General features: G+C 43.0%; 1 protein-coding gene across 9 annotated transcripts in view, besides 1 other annotated feature; it reads right to left on the minus strand.

The window, feature by feature from the left end:
- GPM6B (glycoprotein M6B) overlaps positions 1 to 24,685 on the minus strand; it is a 167,700-nt gene that overhangs the window by 16,924 nt on the left and 126,091 nt on the right. For 5 of the 9 annotated variants that reach the window (XM_011545497.3, XM_017029432.2, XM_047442007.1 and 2 more), the window contains exon 2: positions 19,788 to 19,907. The exons of the other annotated variants lie outside the window; for them this stretch is intronic. In XM_011545497.3, the coding sequence (XP_011543799.1) occupies positions 19,788 to 19,907 (120 nt within the window). The remainder of the gene's footprint in view (positions 1 to 19,787; positions 19,908 to 24,685) is intronic. 9 annotated transcript variants of the gene reach the window in all.
- Positions 14,224 to 14,757: an enhancer, noted in NCBI's record as "NANOG hESC enhancer chrX:13820205-13820738 (GRCh37/hg19 assembly coordinates)". NCBI's record gives its function as "activates a minimal SCP1, AML or CMV promoter by ChIP-STARR-seq in naive H9 embryonic stem cells {active_cell/tissue: H9 hESC(naive)}" and the evidence as "EXISTENCE:reporter gene assay evidence [ECO:0000049][PMID:30033119]".

Genomic DNA, 24,685 nt, shown 5'->3' on the forward strand with positions numbered 1-24,685 from the left:
GAAAAAGATGAATGCCTGCTTTCCTGGCTAACAAAGTTGTATCTGGTTCTTAAAGGATAAAGATGTGAGGCCTTGGGGCTGTGTGGTCCAAAATGGTAGCCACTAAGACATGTAGCTATTTACGTTTATTTAAAATTAAATAAAATGAAAATTTCAGGTCCTCTGTTGCACAAACCACATTTCATATGCTCAAAAGCCACATGGACTAGTGGCTACCGTATTGGACAACACAGATATAGGACATTTCATCATCACAGAACACACTGCTTTGGAAGATACATTTTGAATTGTCACATATTTGATTTTCTATAACCCAGGAGCTGGGTTCTAACTGGGTTTTCTGTTGGATTTCATTAATTCAGTATTTTGTGAAGACCTACTGGGTGCCAAGTACACAAAACTGAAATAAGATACCTTTCTGGCTTCAAGATAAATCCAATACTGCAGGCAGACAAGTAACACAATTATTATAGTCCAGCATGATGGGGGCAAAGATACAGACCCCTGCAGAGCCAGTGGAAAGAGAGTGGAGAGAAGGGGGACAGGGAAGATCAGAAGGGCAAATAATTCATACTGGATGGGTCCTTCTACAGAAAGATCTAGTATCCAGAATACTTAAACAGCTGATGTGGTGACACTGATATATAACCAGATAAAATTGTTCATTAATTCTCTGTGTGTATATATAGATGTATACATCTATATATATTTTTAAACTAAACCCACACCCTTTTTCATCATTTGGAGTTAGGGTTAGGTGTTATGGTGCAGCACACTCGCCCTTTAACGATAGAACTCATCCTTCCAAATCCACAGTTGCCACTTCAAACGGTCTTTCATCCAAATGGTTAGAGCATTCCAAAGAAATATCACAGCTCTCCCAGGCTCAAAAAGCCAAGTGGGGTTAGAAGAATGATGCTGTTCAATCCCAAATTCAATACTAGATCAAAGCTAAAGTTTCCCTCCAATTTATATCTCTCAAGGACTCTGTATATACCTCATGCTGTGGATCTAGTTTTATAACAGCAGGGAAAACCAGGAACTCAAGAATTTGGGGGATCACTTCAATGAATCATGCTCTCTCAGCAGATGCCAATGCTCTTAGGTTTTCAGCAGATGATTTTATTTGTGGCTGTAGGAACCCTGGCTCCTATAGAACAGAAATCACCATCTTTGCTCCACTGGCACAGATAAAACTCTTACGGACTGTGCCAGCCAACATGACTAGAAGCTAGTGACATAAAATATGGGAAAAATTTATAGGACATAATACAGCTGGATGTAGAGCTTATTCTAGCTTGGTTGACCAGTTATCTTCAGGGTTAAGATTGCATGTGTGGTAGATATCCAACAATCTATAAATGGATCACTCTCCACTGTATCTTCTATGTCAGTATAGAAGCCACCTCTGGTCACAGTGTGCATGATATCTTTGAACACTGGGCAATTTAGTCACATATCACACACTCATCCTAGAGGAACCAAAACTGCTGCAAAAAGTTAGTAAGAAAAAGCTAAATGTGTTTATTTAGGAGCTAGAGGATATAGGTAATATAGGAGCTAGACCACCTAGGGCTTTCCAGGCCACCTTAAGAATTCTGGACTTTATCTTCAAAATCATGGGAAGCCTTGACCAGGCGCCGTGGCTCACGCCTGTAATCCCAGCACTTTGGGAGGCCAAGACGGGCGGATCACGAGGTCAGGAGATCGAGACCATCCTGGCTAACACGGTGAAACCCCGTCTCTACTAAAAATACAAAAAATTAGCTGGGCGTGGTGGTGGGCGCCTGTAGTCCCAGCTACTCGGGAGGCTGAGGCAGGAGAATGGCGTGAACCCGGAAGGCGGAGGGTGCAGTGAGCCGAGATTGCACCACTGCACTCCAGCCTGGGTGACAGAGCAAGACTCCATCTCAAAACAAAAACAAAAACAAAAACAAAAAGACAAAAAAAACAAAATCATGGGAAGCCACTGCGTTTTTTTTTTGTTTTGTTTTGTTTTTTGAAACAGGGTCTTGCTCTGTTGCCTAGGTTGGAGTGCAGTGGCACAATCACTGCTCACTGCGGTGTTGAACTCTCTGGCTCAAGCGATCCTCCCACCTCAGCCTCCCAAGTAGCTGGGACCACAGGCCCATGCCACTGCACCCAGCTCATTTTTTATTTTTTAATTTTTTTGTAGTGACAGGGTCTCCTTATGTTACCCAGGCTGTTCTCAAACTCTTGGGCTCAAGTGATCCTCCCGCCTCGGCCTCCCAAAGTGCTGCAATTACAGGTGTGAGCCACCATGCCTGGTCTGCCAGGGAGCATTTTTAAGCATGGGAAACAGATTGGGGTTGTGAAAGATCACTCTGGATGATGTGAAGGGATATATGGATCTGTAGCTGAGAAGAGCTGAACTTGGATGCTGGCAGCTTCTACTGGGCAACAAGGAAAACTATCAGAGGTCAAGAAAAGATATGAGTGGACCATTTGTCATTTGTCAATTCCATGTGCTTTGCAAAGTGTGTTCATTGGACCAGCAGTGTCAGCTTCAGCAGGGAGGAACTTGTGAGAAATAAAGAATGTTGGAAGTGACCCCAGACTGAGTCAGAATCTGCATTTTAACAAGGCCTCTGGGGTGATTTGTGTGCACATGAAAATTTGAGAAGCCCATTTCTAGTCAACAGTGGCATCTTCCCGGTCTCAGGTGTGGCATCCTGAGTCTGTTTGAAGTGCCTGCTTTCATATTCGATGGTGTGTGATGTTTTTTCTCTAAGACGTGGCCCACTGGGTTTGGCCATAACCCTCCAGTCACTTGTGAATCAAATGGCAAGTTCCAAGGACTACAGTTAAGAAAAACAAAATGTTCCAAGTTGTCCAGCCATCTTGAAAAGAGTGCAGCTAGAGTGCATTTTTGTGAGCCAAACAAGTACTGTTAACCTTGGAATTTTTCATGCTTTAGTGTCATGCCATAGACAGGGTCTGAGAAGACGGGAATTGAGTCACCTGAGAAAGCAGATTTCTAAACACACACACTCCAACCACCCCCTAAAGTGCTGGGAGTGCCTGTGCACAAAAAGGAAGTAGATCTGGGATTCAGGCTGTCCTTAGTAGTCATAGGCAAGCTGATGTTTTTAAATATAGGGGTGGTGCCAAGTACCAGCAGAACACCATGCTGTTAAAAGTTTACGATAGCTAAGGAAGATCAGTGCTTTTCTTGGATGCTCCTATAAATCCACAGACTGAATTTTCCCAAGCTTCAAACCAGCAATGACAACATTGGGTAACGTGAACGAGAAAAAATAAGGAAAGCATTTTTTTGATGACTGTGATGTATTCATGTAAAAAAATAATAATCAATGCCAGGTTTTTTTTTTTTCTTTCTTTCCTGAGAAAGAGTCTCACTCTATTGCCCAGGCTGGAGTGAGTGGTGTGATCTCCGCTCACTGCAGCCTCAACCTCCTGGGTTCAAGTGAGTCTTATGCCTCAGCCTCCCTAGTAGCTGGCATTACAGGCACATGCCACCACATCCAGCTAATTTTTTGTATTTTTAGTACAGACGGGGTCTTGCCATGTTGGCCAGGCTAGAATGCCAGGCTTTCTAGCACATTTTACTAGTAATTCTCAATACCTCTCACCAAACCCTAAAAGCCTCTGTTGGGCTGTCTTATGCCTTCATTTAGCTGGCCTCTGGATAAAAAGAATTTTAGGTTTTGATTCACACAAAAATTACAGTGTACATTAGCCTAAGACAGTTTAAATATAAGCCATGTAGTAGGGAAAAAAAAAATACACATCAATGCCTTTAAGTCTCAAAGGCTATTTTGTCTCCAGTATCCCTAGAACCTTTTGTGCAGAACAACAGAATAAAACACCTTTTGTCCTCAGGCTTGTGGATGGCCGTTGCCATGGCTGTGAGTTCATAATGGCCAAGTGATTTGCCCAAGTTGTCTGTGATCTTGGCTGCAGATTTAATGCTGGCTCAGACGTAGGGCTGGCAGGAACAAGGGCTCAGATTCTTCCCCAGGGAATGAATGTCACACATACATACACACACACACACACCCTCCCAAACACCCCCCAACAAACACCACACAAAAAAACCACCCCCTTACCTCTCTACATGGGGCCTTCCTTGCTATATTACTGATTCCTAATGAGCCACAAAATTAAAAAGAAAAGATGCAGGAACCAAGCTTTACAACTTTCAAGCAACAAGCAATGGGAAAATGGAGAGGGCGAAAATCCTAAGAGAAGCAGCAGTGAATGTCAGTGGACAGAAGCTTCCCTGATTCTGAGCTGGCCAAGCAATTCTCAACAGGGGGTGACTGTGCCCCTCAGGGGACATTTGGCAATATCTGGAGATATTTTTCGTTGCCAAAGCTGGGGGAGAGGGTGCTTCTGGCATCTAGTGAGTAGAGACCAGGGATGCTGCTCAACACCCACAGTGTACAGAATATGCTCTTATAACAAAGAATTACCCAGCCCCAGATGTCAATAGCTCCAATGTGGAGATTCTCTGAAGTAGCACAAAAAACATCTACATCGTTTAGACCACTGGTTCCTAATCCAGGCAATTTTGCCACCCAGGGACATTTAGCGGTGTCTGGAGACAGTTTTGGTTGTTACAACTGAGGGTGGGGGACACTACTGGCATCTAGTGGGTAGAGGCCAGGGATGCTCCTAAACCTCCTAGAATACACAGGACAGCCCCCATCCCCAAATAAAGAATGGTCACACCCAAAATGCCAATAGTGCTATAAACCAAAAATAAAACTCTGGGCCGGGCGGGGTGGCTCACGCCTGTAATCCCAGCACTTTGGGAGACCAGGGCAGGCAGATCACGAGGTCAGGAGATCGACACCATCCCAGCCAACATGGTGAAACCCCGTCTCTACTAAAAACACAAAAATTAGCTGGGTGTGGTGGCGCATGCCTGTAATCCCAGCTACTTGGGAGGCTGAGGCAGGAGAATCGCTTGAACCAGGGAGTTGGAGGTGGCAGTGAGCTGAGATTGTGCCACTGCACTCCAGCCTGGCGACAGAGCGAGACTCCGTTTAAAAAAAAAAAAAAAAAAAAATTCTAAGCACCCCCCACCCCACCCCCAACCATCTGAATAGATTCCTGGTCTCTGCCAGGGGGATTCCAAAGTTAGCCTGAAAAAACTAGTTCAGGCCATGATTGGAAGGGAGAGTCAAACATACCTCATTATACCCTCCTCCCTTCTGGAATTCAGGAAAAGCCAACCAGCATTAACATCAACAGACCTTAAATCTGCTAAGAGACATTTACAATCTATTCTCTCTGAAGCCTGCTACCTGGAGGCTTCACCTACAGGATAAAACTTTGCTCTCCACAACCCCTTATCATCATAACCCAGACATTCCTTTCTATGGATTCCAGGTCTTTACATAATTTTTAAATCTTCCTATAACCTGCAAGCCACCCTCTGACCCCCTTTGAGTTGTCCTGCCTTTCCAGATTGAACCAATGTACATCTCACAGGTATTGATTGATGTCTCATGTCTCCCTAAAAGGTATAAAAGTAAGCTGTGCCCCGTCCACCTTAGGCACATGTTATTAGGATCTCCCGAGGCTGTGTCACAGGTTCTTAAGCTTGCTAAAATTAACTTTCTAAATTGATTGAGACCTATCTCAGATAGCTTTGGGTTCACAGTGCCAAGAGTGAGAAACCCTGCTCTAAGGTTACAATACATAATTCTGGTCTCAGACATTTGGTGACACTGCCAAATTCTAAAATCTTAAAAAGAAATGCTTAAAAGAAAACTAACTTTCTTGGAAAACATTATAGAGCAGAGGTTCTCCATTTTTCCTACACATTGGAATAATCTGGGGAGCATCTGAAAATCCTGATGCCCTGGCTTCACCCCAGACCAATTTTATCAGAATTTATTGGGGACGGGACTCAGGAATTAGAGGGTTGGGGTTTGTTTTTTTGAAGCTCCCCCGGTAACTTCAATGAGCACTCAGTGTTATATAGCACAGGTCAGCAAACTGTGGCCCACCAGCTAAATCTGGCTCTCCTCATGGCCTGCAAACTCAGAATGATTTTGACATGATTCCAAGTGGTTACTTTTTTAACCGCTTAGAATATATTAAAAAACCTATTTTGTGACACATGAAAGGTACACAAAATTCAAATTTCTGTGTCTATAAATAAAGTTGTATTGGCACACAGCCACGCTCATTCATTTACATATGGTCTATGGCTACTTTCAAGCTACAAAGGCAGGGTTGAGTTGTTGCCACAGGTATTTACTATGTGGCCCTTTAAAGGAAAGTTTTGCAGACCTCTGTTAAAGAGCAGTGGTTCTCTCTCTCTCTCTCTTTTTTTTTTTTTTCCCAGATACAATCTCACTCTGTTACCCAGGTTCAAGTGCAGCAGTGCAATCTCAGCTCTCTGCAACTTCTGCCTCCTGGGCTCAAGCCATCCTCCTGCCTCAGCCTCCCAAATAGCTGGGACTACAGGAAAACTTTAACCTGCGTATAAATCTCCTCGGGACTTCATTAAAACGCAGATTCTGTTCAGGCAGGTCTGGAAAGGACATTGAGCTCCCAAGAGATTCTATCCTGCCTGCCCACCAGTCTCACTCTGAGCCAGGAGTGGGCCCTCAAAGACGGTCTGTGCAGCCCCGGCAGACCTCAAGATCCTTGCAGGAGGACTGTGAAGCCAAAACTTTTTATAATAGCACCAAGATGTTATTTACTTTTTTCACTGCTTGACATTTGCACAGTAAAACTGCTGATGCCTGAGCGTGAATCGGGCAGTGGCTCCATAGTGTACTTAGCAGGAACACATTCCTCACTACCACGCGCTCGCAAGAAAATAAATTAAAAAGCCAGTTTCACTTCCAAATGTCCTCGATGCAATAAAAAATTATTAATTTGATTAAATCTCAACCCCCGAGTATGTGCCTTTCGAACAGTTTGTGTAATGAAATGAGTGAGAGGATGCAGAGAGCCCTTCTACCACAAACCAGCGTGTGACAGTGGGCTGCAGGAAACATTCTTATGTAACTGAGTTATGAGCCAAACTTGTACCTTTCTGGGGGCAAACACCCCCTTTCTTGAAAGAATGCCTGACAAGATATAGTTTTTTAGACTTAAGTATTTGGCAGAAACTTTCCCAAAAATGAACAGCTTGTCACTTCAAAGAAAACAACTGATAGTATCTGTTGCCAATCAATTTTGGAAAACTTGTACCTGCCATAGTGAGACTGACAGCTTCCAAATACTTACCAGACTTCTTGATGAAATTGGTGGTGACATTAACCAATGAAATTTTTTTGACATGGTTTAATTAAATGTGTCAACGTCTGGAAGATCTGCACAACTCAGAGAACCAATATTTTCCAAATAGCCAAGGGAAAATAATTCTTGAATATAAGAGTCAATCAAAGTGCAAGATCAAGCAATGAATTTTAGTGGAAAAGAGTACAAAAATATCATCAATATGGTTTCAGATTCCACATTACAAGTAGTCTTTAAGAAACCACTAGCTGCTGAATTTTGGTGTAGTATCAAGGAAGAATTTCATAATTATCTGCAAAGGCCATTAAAACACTCCTCCATTCTCCAAGCACATACCTGTGAGAAATTTGAGTTTTCTTCATATACTTCAACCAAAGCAAGATACCCCAAGATGCCTCTGAATGAATGCAGAGGCAGATGTAAGAGTCCAGCTGTCTACTGTTAAGCCAGATATTAAAGAGATTTGCAAAAATGTAAAACAGTCCTATTCCTCACACTAAAATATTATTTTCTTTTTGAAAATCGTTATCTTTCCTAAACATTACTTAGGTTGACATATAATGGATTTGCTATTATTTTAAATGACTAAGTTTATTATTAAGTAATAAACTTCTCAGTTCTAATTTCTTTTCTTTTTTTTTTTTTTTTTTTAAGATGGAGTCTCGCTCCATCTTAAAAAACTCAAAGGCTGGAGTGCAGTGGCACGATCTCAGTTCAGTGCAACCTCTGCCTCCCGGGTTCAAGTGATTCTCCTGCCTCAGCCTCCCAAATAGCTGGAATTAAGGCACATGCTGCCATGCCTGGCTTATTTATTTATTATTTTATTTTATTTTGAGATGGAGTTTCACTCTTGTTGCCCAGGCTGGAGTGCAATGGTGCCAGCTCGGCTCACTGCAACCTCAGCCTCCCAGGTTCAAGCGATTCTCCTGCCTCAGCCTCCCAAGTAGCTGGCATTACAGGCACGCACCACCATGCTGGCTAATTTTGTATTTTTAGTAGAGACGGGGTTTCTCCATGTTGGTCAGGCTGGTCTCGAACTCCTGACCTCAGGTGATCCGCCCACCTCGGCCTCCCAAAGTGCTGAGATTACAGGTGTGAGCCACTGTGCCTGGCTGGCCTGGCTAATTTTTGTATTTTCAGTAGAGATGGGGTTTCGCCATGTTGACCAGGCTGGTTTTGAACTCCCGACCTCAGGTGATCTGCCCACGTTGGCCTCCCAAAGTGCTGGGATTACAGGCATGAGCCACCATGCCCAGCCCTCAGTTCTAGCTTCTAATATAGAAAATATTTATAGGCACAACTCAGAAGAGCAAAGGCGTTTTGGGGTCAACTGTTTCTAAGCACATAAAGGGACCTAACACCCAGAAAGTTCTGTGAACCACTAATATAGTGCATTAAAAAGATGTGAAGTCAGTTGACAGGGGCTTCCTGTCCAAGAACAAAGTGCGAAATCAAATATAGGTTGCTTCTCAGTTCTCACGTCTTTCATGCAGTCCTGGACATAAAAGTTCAACTACATAACGATAAGAATGTGGAAACTATTTCTAATGATAGAAAGGAAATCACTTTTTGGCAGGTCCTTTTAGAAGCTTGTCCTAAAATCTGTTTAATAAGGGATTTTCATTTTTGTGAAAACACTATGGAAGTCTTAAAATAGATGAGCCTCTAACATTTGCAATATGGTACTAGCAGAAGATAAGCAAGTCAATAAAAGCAATGATACGCTTCCATGACTGGGAATAAACAAATCCAACAACCAGATACTTGTTAGTCTCTTCCTTTGCCTTTTGTGGGAACTGGCTTTGGTTTTCCCAAAGGCTTTTAGCCTGGTAAAGTGGGACAGCAAGGAATCATGGAGATCAATGGAGAGTAGGGGAAGCCAGCTCTAAGTCCAGATGACACAGATTTTAAGAGCACAGCAATCTGGAGGCTACTCCAGACATTTGAGAAGTATTTAATATCTGCAATTTTGAGCTTTAGCAGCAATCAGTTTCCTTGACCATCTGGGCGACAGTGTCTCTACTTTCCTGGATTCCATTCCATTCAATGAGTGTCTGTCCAATACCTGCCATGTGCAAGCCACTGTGGTGGGGTCTGCAAGTGTGCCCTCCTGGCTTTGATCCTTGTGGGTGGGGTGAGGGGGGCGGTAAGACACACAGACACATAAGGTATCACTAAAGTAGAATAAAGAGAGTGCTGACACAGGGATATGGGGGAGTGAGGTAGGGACAGATCTCTTTGGTTGGTGTGGGTTGCTAAGGCAAAGGTTTATGGATGGCAGGAGGTGAAGAGGCCTTGAAGAACAGAAGGATTCCATGAAAAGCACAAAGGAAGGACAGCAGGACCCATGTGATGTGGGAGACGTGGGGAGCGTTCAGGGTGTAGCCGAGTTCATCAAGGACACCAGGGTAATGGTGGGGAGAAGTCAGGAAGGTAGGTCCCCCCATTGCCTGGTCCATGGAAGATGTCCAAGCCAGCCTCAAGCCTCTGTGCTTCACTTTGCAGCAAGGGGAAGAGAGGGAAGGTTTGTGAGCAGGCGAGGCGTGACTCAGGATGTGCTTTTAAGAGATGAATCTGGCACTGGTGTGTGGGCTGGACTGGAGTGGGTGCAAGCTCAACTCTTCAGTGGTAGGCGGTGGCAGAATGGGTCTTCTGAGGTTTATTCATGGGGGCAGGACATCTTCAGTAAAAGCAGGAAGGATAAAAATTGGACAAAGCTGTGGAGCTATTAAGCAATCAACATCATGCAACATTTTCTATTCGGGTGAGAAAGGGTGAGAGAATTTATGTGAACACATCTTCACAAGGGCCATTCTAGAAAATGCAAACTAATCCACAGAGAAGGAGAGCAGATCAGTGGTTGCTTGGGGAGAGTGGGAGCATAGGAAGGATGGAAAGAGTTGGGAGTGGCAGCCACATTGCCATGCTGCTCATGGTGCTGCTTTCATGAGCACACACGTATGTCAAGGCTTGTCAGACACTTTAAAGAGATGCACCATATGCATATCAATTACACCACAAGAAAGCGTTTTCAGAAGACCTGTTTGTGAAGTTCAATTTCTACAAGACACACTAGTAATTTAAAAAGGTTGTGAACCCCTTTGAGAAACTAAGGATTGGTGGTGAAAGCCAAGAGCCACATTAACCTGGGTGATGGGAACCCTCCAGGCAGCAAGGCACAGCAGAGGCATCCTCTGGACTGAGGGTAAGGACAGCAAGGGTCAGGGAGGCCTTAGGGCTTTTACTAGACAAGCAGAGGGCAGGAGGCTACAGTGAGGGGGAAGGAAAATAAAGGGCGCTGAGGAAGACATACCTGTTCCTCTAACCACAATAACACACTCATATGCCCTGCATACATCTCTGTATGCATAGGGTGTTTATAGCACGTGCTATATGCAAACACACGTGTATGGTATTATGTTGCATAAATAAATATATGTAGGTTTAAATGTATTGGTTTATGCACTGCGTGCCTTTTAAAAGAGTGAGTTTCTCTTCAGGAAACACCGATACATAGATTGTATATAATATTCCAGACTTATCAAGCTATCCATGCCTGCAATAAGCTTAACATCTGGGACAAAGCTACCCCATGGACTTCTACTGCTTCACTTAGAACCAATTTCCTGACTCAAAGCGTAGGACCTAGCCCAGGGGTTCTCAACTCTTGGTACTATTGGCATGGGCCATCCTTTGTTGGGGAGGGGCCGTCCTGTGCACTGTAGGATGTTTAGCAGCATCCCTGACCTCTACACCACTAGATGCCTAAAAGGCATCTCCTGAAAGGCAGAAACTCCCCCGGATTGGGAAACACTGGTCTACCACAGTGGTTCTCAACCTTGGCTGCACAGAGGATCACCTGGTGGGGGAGCTTTCAAGAACGCTGATGCCTGGGTCCCACCCTCAAGATTCTGAATGACTTGGTCTGGATGTGGCTTCGGAATTTTAAAAGACCTCCCCTTCCTTCCAGGGTTCTACTGTGAAGCTCAGGCTGAGAACTTCTTATTCAAGAAAATCATCCCACAAAGTTAACCCTATTTACATGCAGATGATTCTAGAAACCTCGATTAGCCAACCTAATTTTTTTTTTTTTTTTTTTTTTTTTTTTTTTTTTTTTTTTGACACAGAGCCTTGCTCTGTTGTCCAGGCTGGAGTGCAGTGGCACAATCTCTGCTCACTGCAACCTCTGCCTCCTGGGTTCAAGTGATTCTCCTGTCTCAGCCTCCCAAGTAGCTGGGACTACAGGCACCCACCAATACTCCCGGCTGATTTTTGTATTATTATTATTATTATTTTTTTTTTAGTAGAGATGGGGTTTCACCATGTTGGCCAGACTGGTCTCAAACTCCTGACAACGAGTAGCCAATCTGAACTTACTTAACAAACACCTGCTGAGCTCCTATGCAACTCTCAGAGTGCAAGGTCTTGACCAGCCTGGCCCAGGAAATGAGCCATGTACACAATGGACACTAAAATTAGACAATTTCATATAGAGTCACACATCATGAGTGCTAAAAATAAAGTGATCATCATTCAACACTATGAACGACTGCTTTCTTGGTCCTAGGTCCCGAGCCAGGCCAAAGCAGGGAGCAAGGCATGAAGACCTCTGCTCACAGAGAGCTTAGAGTCTAGTACCTCAGGAAGGCCGTCAAACACCTGCCAGGTACTCATTTAACCCAGTGATACATTCTCTGAGAGGTGAGGCTTTGAGAAAGTGAAGAGGTTATGATCATTAAGGAGATGGAGGATGCATTTGCACTGTGAAATGTTTATACAGACTGTGGCAGGCAGCTAAGACACCACCCCCAATGATCCCCACAAACCTACATTCATGGCCTTGTGTAATTCCTTCCCCTGAATGTGGGCTGGACCTAGTAGCTTACTTCTTAGGACTAGAATATGGCAAAAGTGATGAGATGTCACTTCCCTGATTAGGTTTCAAAAAATTGACTTCTGTCCTGTTAGCATTGTCTCTCTGGCTGGCACATTCTCTTACCTGCTCACTTGCTCTCTCTATCTGATGAAGTCATCTGCTATGCCATGAAGTAGCTATGGAGAGCCCACACATGGAAAAAAATCAAGGGAGGTTTTAGGCCAGCAGCTTGTGAGGAACTGAGGCCCTCAGTCCCAAAGTAACCAAGTCCTGCCAGTAGCCACATGAATGAGCTTGGAAGTGGATCCTTCCCCAGTTAGGCCTTCAGATGAGACTGAAATCTCATTAGAGTTTCTGAGACAGCTAAGCTGAGTCCAGACTCCTGACCTAAGGAAGCCGAGATAATATACATTTTTGTTTCTAGCCACTATGTTTTGGAGGAATTTGTTATGCAACAATTGATAACTAACACACAGCCTGAGCTCTGATGTTTGCCTACAGCTTTACAATCTAATGTTTTTGCATTGGCTCTTATACACAAAGATATAGTGGCAATAGCGAAACATTACTTCAAGAGGAATTTACTTCAAATTCAATAGTACTGTCTGCTAAGGATGTGGAGGTTTGACTTTGAGCATCTTAACTGTAAATACATATACAGGTTGAACATATACATACACAGGCTGAACTGAAACGATACTTTACCAAAGATGTTATAATGAGGGGTTATGGCCTTCTATGTATATAGCAGTGGTGGTCAAACTTTACTGTGCATTAGAATTGCCTGGGGGAGCTTCTTAAAATGGGCCAAATTTCTGGGACCCATCGCAGAGAGGGTAGGTGGGGACTGGGAATCTGATTTTTCTTTTTAAGAGATCGGGTCTTGCTATGTTGCCCAGGCTGAACTTGAACTTCTGGGCTCAAGTGATCCTCCTGCCTTAGCCTCCCAAGTAGCTGGGACTACAGATGTGTGCCACCATGCCCATATGAAATCTGAATTTTTAACCAGCATTCTTAGCGATTCCGATTCAGGGCATTGGAACCTCATACTTAAAAAAAAAAAAAAAGAAAGAAATGATCCCCAGCACTACATTTAGTAAACCACAAATATCTTTTCTATACACAGGAAATAAAACTTGCTAAAGTGCACTGAATAGAACACTAGATGAAAGTAGCTCACAGTATCCACTTAACGGGACTTGGTTTATTATGGGAAAACTCAGAGAAGGACCTGAAAGAGGCCAGAGGGGCTGAGCTTCTAGAAAGTACCAAGAAATTCTCTGAAGAAGGGCTGAGCCTTAGTTGACAGCCTGTGAGCAGGGAGTCCCTATTCCCCACAGAGAACAAGGATTCTGGGGCCTGGAGGGCAGAGGATGAGGGATGTTTGATGGAGAAGATTTTAGGAAACTGAGTGCCGAGCAAAGTTTTTAGGTGTTGCCTAACATCAGTAGATAGAGTATTGCATTTTGACACACTTTGCAAATTCTAATTCAAGGATTGGCAATTGTTTTCTGTAAAGGACCAGATGGCAAATATTTTTGGCTTTGCAGGGTGTATAGTTGCAGCTTCTCAACTCTGCTAGTGGAGTACGAAAGCAGCCACAGACAATCAAATGGGCCTGGCTGGTTCCGATAACATTTTCTTTACAAAAACAGTGGGTGGCATCACCAGCCTCGTCTGTCAAATCCTCACAGGAATCTCGATTTATTGCCACTGGGAAACAGCACATGAATATAAACAAGGTTTTCTCAAGACACAGGAAGTCTTGTTTCGATCCCATTACCTCTCCTACCAGCCTGACATTTCACCCCTAGAGCTGGTCCTTGGGGGTGAAAGCATTGTTCATGGAAGTCTCCAGAAAATACAAGCATGATGATCTTCAGAGGAAGATTTGTCCCACCTAAATGACTCTGACACCCAGAGCATTCCGTTTAGTACAAAAGCCAATTCATATAAGCTTTTCATAGACGTGGACGCACTCAGGGGGTGAGGGTATATGTGGCTTATTTGGGAGTGAACTTCGGCACCCAAAAGGACACAGCCTGAGGAGGTGGGAAGACCTAAGTGGCTGATTTCAGCTACTCCCCAGCTACTTCAGAGTAATTCCAGTTACCTCTAAGGGTGGCAAAAGATTTCAAAGCAAAATTAATTTTAATGGACTCTAGTTAGATTTATATGAAAACATATAACATAAGGGACATTTCAAAGGCAGCAAAGACCAGATGACACTACTTCTCAAAGACCGAGAAGTACTCAGTCTTGAATAATCCAAGTCAGTGTCCCTACAATCAGACATGTCTGACAGAAAGCCCGAGATCAACACTCAATACTCATCGATCTGCTTTTTATCTCTGCTTTCTCTGTCTGCCTACTCTAAGGTGAGAAGCAAAGGTAAGACCAAAAGACAAAGGGAGCTGATATGTCACACACACAGTAAGCCATTGTTACATAATTAGGTGCTAATCACAGACTAACAATATAGCGCATAAACAATGGAACGTTCAAAAACAATCAAGAAATTACTTATATCGATAAGTATTTGTTTACAGCTATATATAAATTATTTTATATATATATATATAAAGACTGCCATAGCAGTCAGTAAATAAACTATAAAATCGTTAACTGCTGTATATGGCACTTTTTTGGTGAAAACTGCAGGTGCTTTGAAAATGAAAGAATTGATACATTTCAGAAAACAAAAGGCAAAGTACTCTAAAAATCTCAGGGACTTTACGGCATGAGCCTGAGCTACAACGTGCTTCCACTGTGTTCACCATTTACCTCTATGTAATCAGAAATATCTTGAGTAACTGGAAGGCATCAGACAGACTGAGAGCATCCACTGGCTTAGGCTGGATAAGCTACAAAAGCTTCTGCAACCAGCCTCTGGGGACAGAATGATACCACCAGCAGAACCCACACGGCACGACCAGACTGTCAGTTATGGTCGACACCCAACTATGGCCAGAGGTGGAATGGTACACGCAGAAGGATTAAGGGTTTTTCTTCCCCCTTAAAATACATTTCAAGTGGTTTGGGAGAAGACCTCGAACTTAGTGGCCTTACAACCTTAGGTTAGGAAAGAGTGACACTAAAGAACAATGACAAAAATCCAGTAGCATTTCCCAGGACTTATAGCTACAGGTGTCCCTCTACAAAGCAGATCAGTGAGAGAGAAGTCCCAGGCTCAGCCTAGAAGGGGGCCAAGGGATAAAGTCTGCAGTTCCCAGGAGCCAGCCTGTGGTTACATCTGGGCAGACAAGGTGCAACATGAGTTAACAGCAGTGCTGGGCCCTCCGTCAGTCTGCTACCCGCCCCCACCCCACAACCCCGTGGCGACTCAGGAATCCATTCTCTGTGGTGCAAATCACAACACTTGGGCTTCTTGCTAAATACCAACACTCCAGAGGGCCCTCCTCTCCCGACATCCTCTGTGACAGTCCCTATGTAGAGGGTGTGCTCTTTGTCCCGACTTCTGGAATTATCTGTGGCCATTTTAACTGAAACATCAGAGCATTTTGGATTTGAGAGGCGGAAATTGGTGATATGTGAAGTGGGTGGTTATTCTACTCCTTCCTTGTGAGACTGAATTCTGAATTACAGATTTAACTGTATATAAAGAACCATTCTTAGTCCACTAAAAATGGCAGCCTATATTTAGTCACGGCATCTTGCATGTCATTGGATTATATTAAAGAGGGAGATGAGAGACATTTGAGAATTTCTCCCAAGCTTCCATCAACTACTTTCTCCTCTGGCCCTCACTTTGCCACAAAGAAACAAACCTTTCTCACCTTCACTGCCCCTTCCCCAAACCCCCTCATGAGACAAGCAGGTAAGAGAAGCAAGGTCACTGTTTTTCAAACCAGCCAGGACTCAACAGATTAATGACTGCCTTGGCATTGCTTAGACATGCCTCTTCCTAAATAGAAACGGAAAGAAGAAAGGATGAATACCTTGAGCAATTCTTTATCTTTTCCAAAGATAAAGATTTCTAGATCTCTTGAGGGTAAATTCACATAATCAATTCCTTCCTGTCTTCTCCCTTCTTGCTCTTGGACCTTGCTCTTAATTACTGCTTCTCAAGCTTTAATGTGCATAGGAACTACCTGGAAGTCTTATGAAAATGCAGATTCTGATTCAGTGGGGCTGGGTGGGACCTGGGACTCTGCATTTCTAACGAGCTCCTGGAGGTGTTGATTCTGCTGGTCCACAGCCCGCACTTGGAATAGAGAATCTAGATTGTCTTAGGCTATCCTCTGGAGCCTGTGTAACACAATCTACAACAGTCTGGAAGTGCTCCCTCCAATGTTAAGCACAATATGCCACTGACTGGAGACTTAGCATGAACTACTCCCTGCTTCATCGCTTGCCTGCATCTCAGACCACCACCTCAGGCCAGGCCCCTAGGGCAGCATCATGGACGGCGGGGGGGGCGGGGGGCGGGGGTAGCCCATGTGGTCATACATCATTTCATCTCCTGAAGGCAGAAAAGATGTGGACACTACATGTCCAACGCAGCTAAAAATTGAAAAGGAAAAAGAGATAAGGAAAGAATAACTATCTAACCCCTAAAGATGGAATTCTACTGGGAAGTAGTAGCAAGAAAAAGAAAACCATGAAAAGGACCCTGGAACCGCCATGACCTTTCCAATGGGGAATAAGGAAGTTCCTGGAGAAGGGCAGTCTCTGCTACAGTAACTGCATGAGTGGGAGAGGCATTTTCCTTTGGCAAAAATTTCCTGGTCAGCCTGTATCAAAACCTCTTTTTCCCCCATGGAAAAAGGCTGACAACTCTGCAAAAAAATTAATAAAAAAAAAAAGAAAAAAAAAAGAGCCATACAGAATTCCCTATTTTTTGCCTCATACCATCTGGTTGGGGTTGGAGATCTAAGTATAGAATGGCAACGGCATTGATTTAGGACCCAACAAAATCTGTAAGTGTCTGGAAAGGCGATGGCATGGCTAGAGTGGGTCCCTTCACTCTGTGGCCTGCGCTGTAGGCTTTACACTATCACACATAAGGTCTCTGCAGACAGCTCCAGACATTAACAGTCCCCGTGGAGGCATCTTTTTTCCAATTATTTCCATCAATGCACACAAAAAGTTAAAACTATGTGTAGGTGGAGATTGTTTCAGGATCTGGGAAGATAATTCTTTAAATCAAATTCAGTGATTTTGTTTCTCCCCCTCAGGCAAGAACCTGTTAGTTCATGGAATTCTCGCTTGCAGTAGTATCACCAGCAACCTGATACTATTAGACTTCCACAATCTTTCATCATATCATTATGGAATTCCAAAAAACTTGAAAAGTAATTTTTTTTTCTCCCCTAACTCATCTGGCAGCAAAACCTGTTCTGATCTCCTCTTCCTTGGTGCCAAAATCTCACCTGAATGGACAAGGAGTTGTTTATAGTCTTGGGCTCTCCAGAAAGATTAATGAGTTAGATCTGCAGAGACACTCAGTGGTGGTATCATGCAGTACATGATGTATGCACTATGTTATCTTTTGGAAACCCAAATTCTTTGGAATTCTGAAAGAAATCAGTTTCAGAAAAACAGAAAATGGAGCCTCGTATTTTTCTTCTCAGCTGCCACTGCTGCTATGAATGCCCAGATTCTGGTGTTTCACCGTAGGATCAAAAGCACACAAATATTATTGCAATGCTTTTACAGGGAACTGCTCAACAAGTGGAGAAAACTCTTCAAGAGCAATTGATAGAGGTTTCTTTTATTCCCCCCCAATAAGATATTGTGTTTATTCTTTACCAGTTTAGTGAACTAAAATACAGAAAAGAATAAGTATTTTTCTGGGTTTCCAGCTGGCCTGATGTCATTCAACACTCTTAAAATGAAGACTCTTAAAGACTCTTAAGATGAAGAGGGACTCCTCCCTCAAGCAGTTGTTTCTGATAACTTGGGGGCTTCTTGTTATGTTAAAAAATACCCCTTTCCCCGCTCCCCACCCTTGAATTATGCACATCTCATGGTTTTTTTTGCTGCTTTTTTTTTCAAAAGCAGCTTTACTGAGATATAATTTATATTCTATAAAATTCACCTGTTTCAAGTATACAATTCAATGACTTTGAGTAAATGTACAGCGTTGTGTGACCATCGCCACAATCTAATTTTAGAACATTTTCATCACAGCAAAAATGATCCCTTGTACCCATCTGTAGTTGCTCCCCAATCCTCCCTTCTCTCAGCCTCTGGCAACCATTAACCTACTTCTTATCTCACCAATTCTGTAAATTTAACATAAACAGAGTGGTAGAACATTTGGTCTCTTGTGTCTGGCTTCTTTCACTTAGCATGATGTTTTTGAGGTTCATCCATGTTGTAGCATGCACAAATATTTCATTCCTTTTTATTGCTGAATAGTAGCTATTGTATGGATATATCACGTCTAATGACTTTTTTTAAATCAAGATTCCAGAACCCTCCATATTCTTTATAGGATCCATGAGAATGGATGGCTGATGTCACCTCATGCTCACCCTATTTAGCCAGCGCTGCACAGGCACACACAGAACCAACACCTGATAGCCATAGGACAGATGAAGGAATGCATAACCCAAGACAGAACTAAATCCAACGTCAGATTTCATTTTAATTAACCTGACAACACAATTTAGATTTTAAAGGAAAAGGTTTTATTAATCATGGATTTTATGACTTTGTAATTCAATGGGTAACTTACATTGTACCTTGGGATTGCCCTTTCTGGAGCTGTACCATGCTACATTTACTCCTGAAAAAGTTAGCAAGCATTTGGGAGAAATGTTATGGATTGATGCAAAATCACAGAAATACTTTAAGCCTCTTACTGTGTTTATCCGACCTACCACCAGCCCTTTATGTCTGCATTTTATGTAGTTTGAACTATGGTTGTACACTGGCAAAATCACTGAGTTTTAGCTAACTGAGCTGGGCATTACAACTTGTGTTGGTTTTGGGAACGTGGGAGGTTGGATGTTCATACTGCTTCACCTTTTGCCCCTTCTAGGTCCCCAAATCAGCTGTCGCACACCTCACCCAGATCCAGCACCTAGCGGTTCTGAATGGCCAATGTTCCTCACGAGCAAGGAAAATGGAAACCGGACCCACTGAACCTACCTGATGGGAATCGGGTACATGGTTATCCAATCCTACTTTCACAGCTTTGATTTCTCTTTCTCAAAGGCAATGACTGAGGTGAGAGGGTGGTGCAGAGCAGCAGGGCTGGGAAGACATTTGGGGACACTCACAGTACTCTCAGGGCCAAGGCTCCTTGAAGGCCCTGGCCCAGTTCTTGGCCACATGGGGGATGTGGGTGGCCCCCCTCCCCCATTATTGGTTCAGGCATTGGAAATTTCATGGTTAACCAAAGGCATATCTCACTGTACATTGTTCCCTTTGAGAAGACGAAGTGATTGAAGGTGAAAGAGGGAAGAGGGAAGAAGGAGAAGAAAGTGGAGAAAGATGGGGTGGAATGGAGAGGGAGAGAGAAAAAGAAAGATGATTAAAAAATGTTTATAGGGCGAATTCCACCCATGCCCGTGTGAACAAATTAATGCACCAAGCAAAACATAAAATATCACCAAGCTGCAAGAGCCATTACAAATAATATTAAAGATAACAGTTGACTTGCTATTAGAATTCACCCCAAGGCTGTATTTACCTGGACTGCTCAAGGGGCTAGCCCTGTCCCCCAGGGTTGGCACGGGATGGTACTGGTGGTTCTTTGAGCCTGGGTACATCCAGTGGTACCTGCCAATTTCCATTTCAGCTCTGCTGTTCACTGCCAATTTCAGGTGGCAAAGAGTCAGTGTCTCTATCTCCAGCAAAGATTCTATATCAGCATTTTTATTTATTCTTTACCATAGAAAGGAAATGGGGAGTTTAAAAAATATGCTATTGAAATGCAACCCTTCAGTACCAGCATGATCCATTGAGAATGTCCTCCGTTTCTAAATTGAAGTTTATGTAAATCACCAAAATGATCTTTATTTTCTACATCTTTCCCCCAACACACACCATATCCTGCTTCTTAAAATGCTCATTTGGGGAAGATACTATTTATAGTGAAAATTTGGCTCCTCACAATAATATTTTTCTTTCTGTTTCCTTTTCAGACCAACAGAGCACTAACAGAGCACTATAATTATTGCCAGCTGCACTAGCAAAGGTGAACGCAGGCTCCCTCTCTGTAAGGGTACCCAGCTCTAGTCCAGAAAACCTGGCAAACAACCTAATGGTCTGCTGTTTCTTGGATGAAATGCTTGTCCTCCCATTGACGTCTGCAGTATTGTCTGTCACCTTATCTTAAACTCAGAACGTCAGAGTCTAGAATGTTCTGGATTAAATCCTGTTCCAATTTTCTCCCATGTGCTATACAGAAAGGGCTACTGGTCTTGGGCTCGAACCACTGCTTAATTACACACATGGTGACAGCTGGCACTCCCTGAGGACTCAGGTCTCTATCTGGTAATATGATACAATATTTCCCACTTCTTAGGGGATTGCAAAGAAAAATACCTACCAATTTGCCTGGCACAGAGTAGGCTTCTCATAAAAGTTAGTTGAATTACAATCTTGAAATCTCAAAGAGATCATAAGGTCGCTATGGCCAGTTTATCTCCGAGAATCCCATAAAACCTAATAAGGGGTTATATCCTCTGGGGCACCACAAATATTTAAGGATTAAAAAAAAATTGTGCCATTGATGTGGGTAATGATTCCATCAGAAGATCAGGTCATAATGCACCATCTGGCAGCTCAGGTCTCTGAGGAGAAGAACCTACTAAAGCCACAGTGTGAGGCAAGTAAAACCTCACAAAGCCTTTATAAAATCCCAACTCCACTCTCCACAATCTCTGAAAACTTGTAAGGTATTTCAAGTTTGGAAGCAGAAACCTGCTTTTCTAGAATGTTTTAGAAAAAATCTTTTTGACTTCAAGGTAAGGTATACATAACTCATTTAAAACCAGGGTAGGGAGGTACAGAAAAGATGCTGGGATAAGATCAGAACTGCACAATGAAACTATTTTTGTGGTCAATGATGATGACAGCAAAAATTTATGGAGTGCTTATGATGTACTATGCACTGCACTCAGCATGTGGTACTTATTACATTTGTCACAACCACCCTCTGAAATAGGTACTATTATTATTCCATTTTTACAAGGGAACAACCCAAGGGCAAGGAGAAGGTAATGATCACTTGCCCAAGATCTTTCAGCCAGGAGGTAGAGAAGCCTGAATGTGAACCTTAGCAATTTCACTCAAGAGGGCACACTTTGGAAACCACCATACATCCTACTGTGACCTCTGCATGTATTGCAATTTTCTACTCTTCTGCTGAGGCAACAGTTAACCCAATGAGAGTTTTTCTGAGGTGCATTTGCAGTTGAGTTGTGCTTCTGTGTCTCCTAAAGAAACGGTCCAGGTCCTAAGCTACTGATGTTATCTCAGGCTTCTTAAAATTTCTTAACTTTCAGTCTTCCTTAGATTGAGATTTTTGTGGGCTGGGTGCGGTGGCTCACACCTGTAATCCCAGCACTTTGGGAGGCCAAGGCGGGCGGATCACTTGAGGTCAGGAGTTCAAAACCAGCCTGGCCAACATGGTGAAACTCTGTCTGTACTAAAAATAAAAAAAATATATAAAAAATAAAAATTAAAAAATTGGCCAGGTGTGGTGGCTCATGCCTGTAATTCCAACACTCTGGGAGGCCGAGGCAGCCAGATCACCTGAGGTGAGGAGTTTGATACCAGCCTGGCCAACATGGTGAAACCCTGTCTCTACTAAAAATACAAAAATTAGCTGGGCATAGTGGCGCACACTTGTAGTCCCAGCTACCCAGGAGGCTGAGGCAGAAGAATTGCTTGAACCCAGGAGATGGAGGTTGCAGTGAGTTGAGATCGCGCCACTGCATTCCAGCCTGGGCAAAAAAAAAAAAAAAAAGAGTAAAACTCCATCTCAGGAAAAAAAAAAAAAAAATTAGCCGGGCATGGTGGCATACGCCTATAGTCCCAGCTACTCTGGAGGCTGAGGCAGGAGAATCACTTTAACCTGGGAGGTGGAGGTTGCAGTGAGCTGAGATCATGCCACTGCACTCCAGCCTGGGTGACAGGGTGAGACTCTGTCTCAAAAAAAGAAAGAAAAAAAACCCCCAAAAAACAGATTTAGATTTTTGCTTTACTGTTCAGGAGATTCTCTCTCAGAAATAGATGTTGCTACATTCTCCAAAGGCAAGAAAACCCAGTGGGGCTGACAGAAAAAAAACAGAAGGTCAAGGCACTTCATGGTATGATCTGATTTCCTCTTGGTAAAGGGGGCTATGAGCCCTCCACATAGACCCCTAAGCAAGAGGATTCTAAGTAGTTCTATCACTTTTGATCTGGAAATTTTTATCCTTTTAAAAAATTTGTCTCTACATACTCAGCACACAGGTGCCCAATAAACGCTGGCTGAATAAATATTTGGTTGAAAGGAAGGGAGCACCCTGGGACCCTGTGGACCAGAAATGGACCTCTAGATCCCCCACCATGCTGACTTTTACCCAAGCCAGGCCATGCAATTCAGGGTATCTCTGCAGAAGATTCATCCATGCTCTGTGCTCATCTCCTCATATGGATGGGGTAAGTCTCCAGATGTTCAGGCAAGCAAGCATAGGCTGCTAGGCAATGACAATGAAAAACCATGGACTGCTCAATGTTAACGTGTTTTCTGAGAAAAACATGGCAGCCATGCCTAAGACCCTTAATTCAGGATTTAAAAAAAAAAAAAAAAAAAAAGAATAGATCCAGAAGACACACCGATGGGATCGGCAACTGGATGGATGTGTTCCAAATCCCCTGGACTTACACTTCTGGAGGGGCCTTTTTACAACAGTAAATCTTTAGATATGAAAGAAAAGAAAAATCACTTCTATTTTATATTTTTGAGCCAAATTTAAATAAAGGCATTAAATATAAAGTTATTTATAAAATTTCAAAAAACACAGTATACATTTTAATCCCAAGGACAGGATCCCAACACCTAAAAGGCAGTCACAGGATTCCAAGAGGATGCCTTGGCTCAAAAGGTCTTTTAAAATGTCTTGATTCTGGGCACCTGGCAAGAAATGGGAAAATGGTTTATGCCCTGCAGAGGGAAAACTGCAAAATGTTCCCCCTAAGAGAGTGAAGATAGAGATGAGGTGACCAGTGGTGGCTTATGAAGACAGACACAGCTGTGAGTGGTCATTGCCAAAGGTGGGCATGAAACAAGGGGAAATTGCAAAAAGGAAAGCAAAACAATGCCTTGTTTATTTTTCCCCATTTACTTATTTAATGTAATTTAGCGAGAAGGCTGAACAAATGAACTTCAGACTGTCATGCTTCTTAGCACCTAGGAAATTATCACCGGAAGCAACTAAGTGACAAACACTGAGCTTCCAAGAAAGACCATATTCACTGAGCAAGGTCTTTCAAAGCTATATTTGTTATCTTTCATTTTTAGCTATTATTTAAAATATTAAGGAATGCCATAACAATGCTATAAATATAGTAAAGGTTGGTAAATTATAGCCATCTGTTTTTATTTATAAGGTTTTATTGGAACACAGTTGCACCCATTTGTTTACATACTATCTAGGGCTGCTTTCATGCTATAGTGGCAGATTTGAATAGTTACAACAGACACTGAGTGGTCTGCAGCACCTAAAATACTTACTATCTGACCTTTACGGAAAAAGTGTGTTGACCCTTGATTTTAAATACAGCATAATAAGGCTTGGCTACATAAAGCAGTTAATGCAATTGATAAAATCAGCTTATCAAATAGGAAATTATTACATTTTCTCTTATACACTCTTTGACGAGAAATATCACTCAGCTGGCTAAGGATCAAAATTCTCGTCTATGGCATTTTGTCTGCTATTTAATCTGCCACCAATCAGCAAAATTATTATTAAAACCAAGATTATACTACCCCTAATGGTCCCTACGATGACTTAGCACCCCTGTACTCCTGTAACGTGAGCTGAAGGGACAGAGGAAGAATGACATTTCAAAGGAGAACACTTTTCTTTTCTTTCTTTTTTTTTTTTTTTTTTTGAGACAGAGTCTCGCTCTGTCACCCAGGCTGGAGTGCAGCGGCACTATCTCGGCTCACTGCAACCTCCGCCTCTCGGGTTCACGCCATTCTCCTGCCTCAGCCTCCTGAGTAGCTGGGATTACAGGCACACACCACCACGCCCGGCTAATTTTGTTTTTGTATTTTTAGTAGAGACTGGGTTTCACCATGTTAGCCAGGATGGTCTCGATCTCTTGACCTCTTGATCCGCCCGCCTCGGCCTCCCAAAGTGGTGGGATTACAGGCGTGAGCCACCACACCCGGCAGAGAACACCATTAAACGAATAAATGAATGAACAACAAAGCACATTTGTGAAACTGGGATTGTAACCTTCCTCTCTTAAAAACAGTCGGTGTGGTCACTTTCTTCCTCCGTTCCATGGCCATCCCTACTCCTGGCCAACTATCTCCCATGTATGTACATTTGGTCCAAAGGAGAAAAAAGCGAGAGTGTCTTTGTA

The sequence above is a fragment of the Homo sapiens genome, chromosome X (genome assembly GCF_000001405.40).
Source record: "Homo sapiens chromosome X, GRCh38.p14 Primary Assembly".
Classification (NCBI taxonomy): Eukaryota; Metazoa; Chordata; class Mammalia; order Primates; family Hominidae; genus Homo; species Homo sapiens.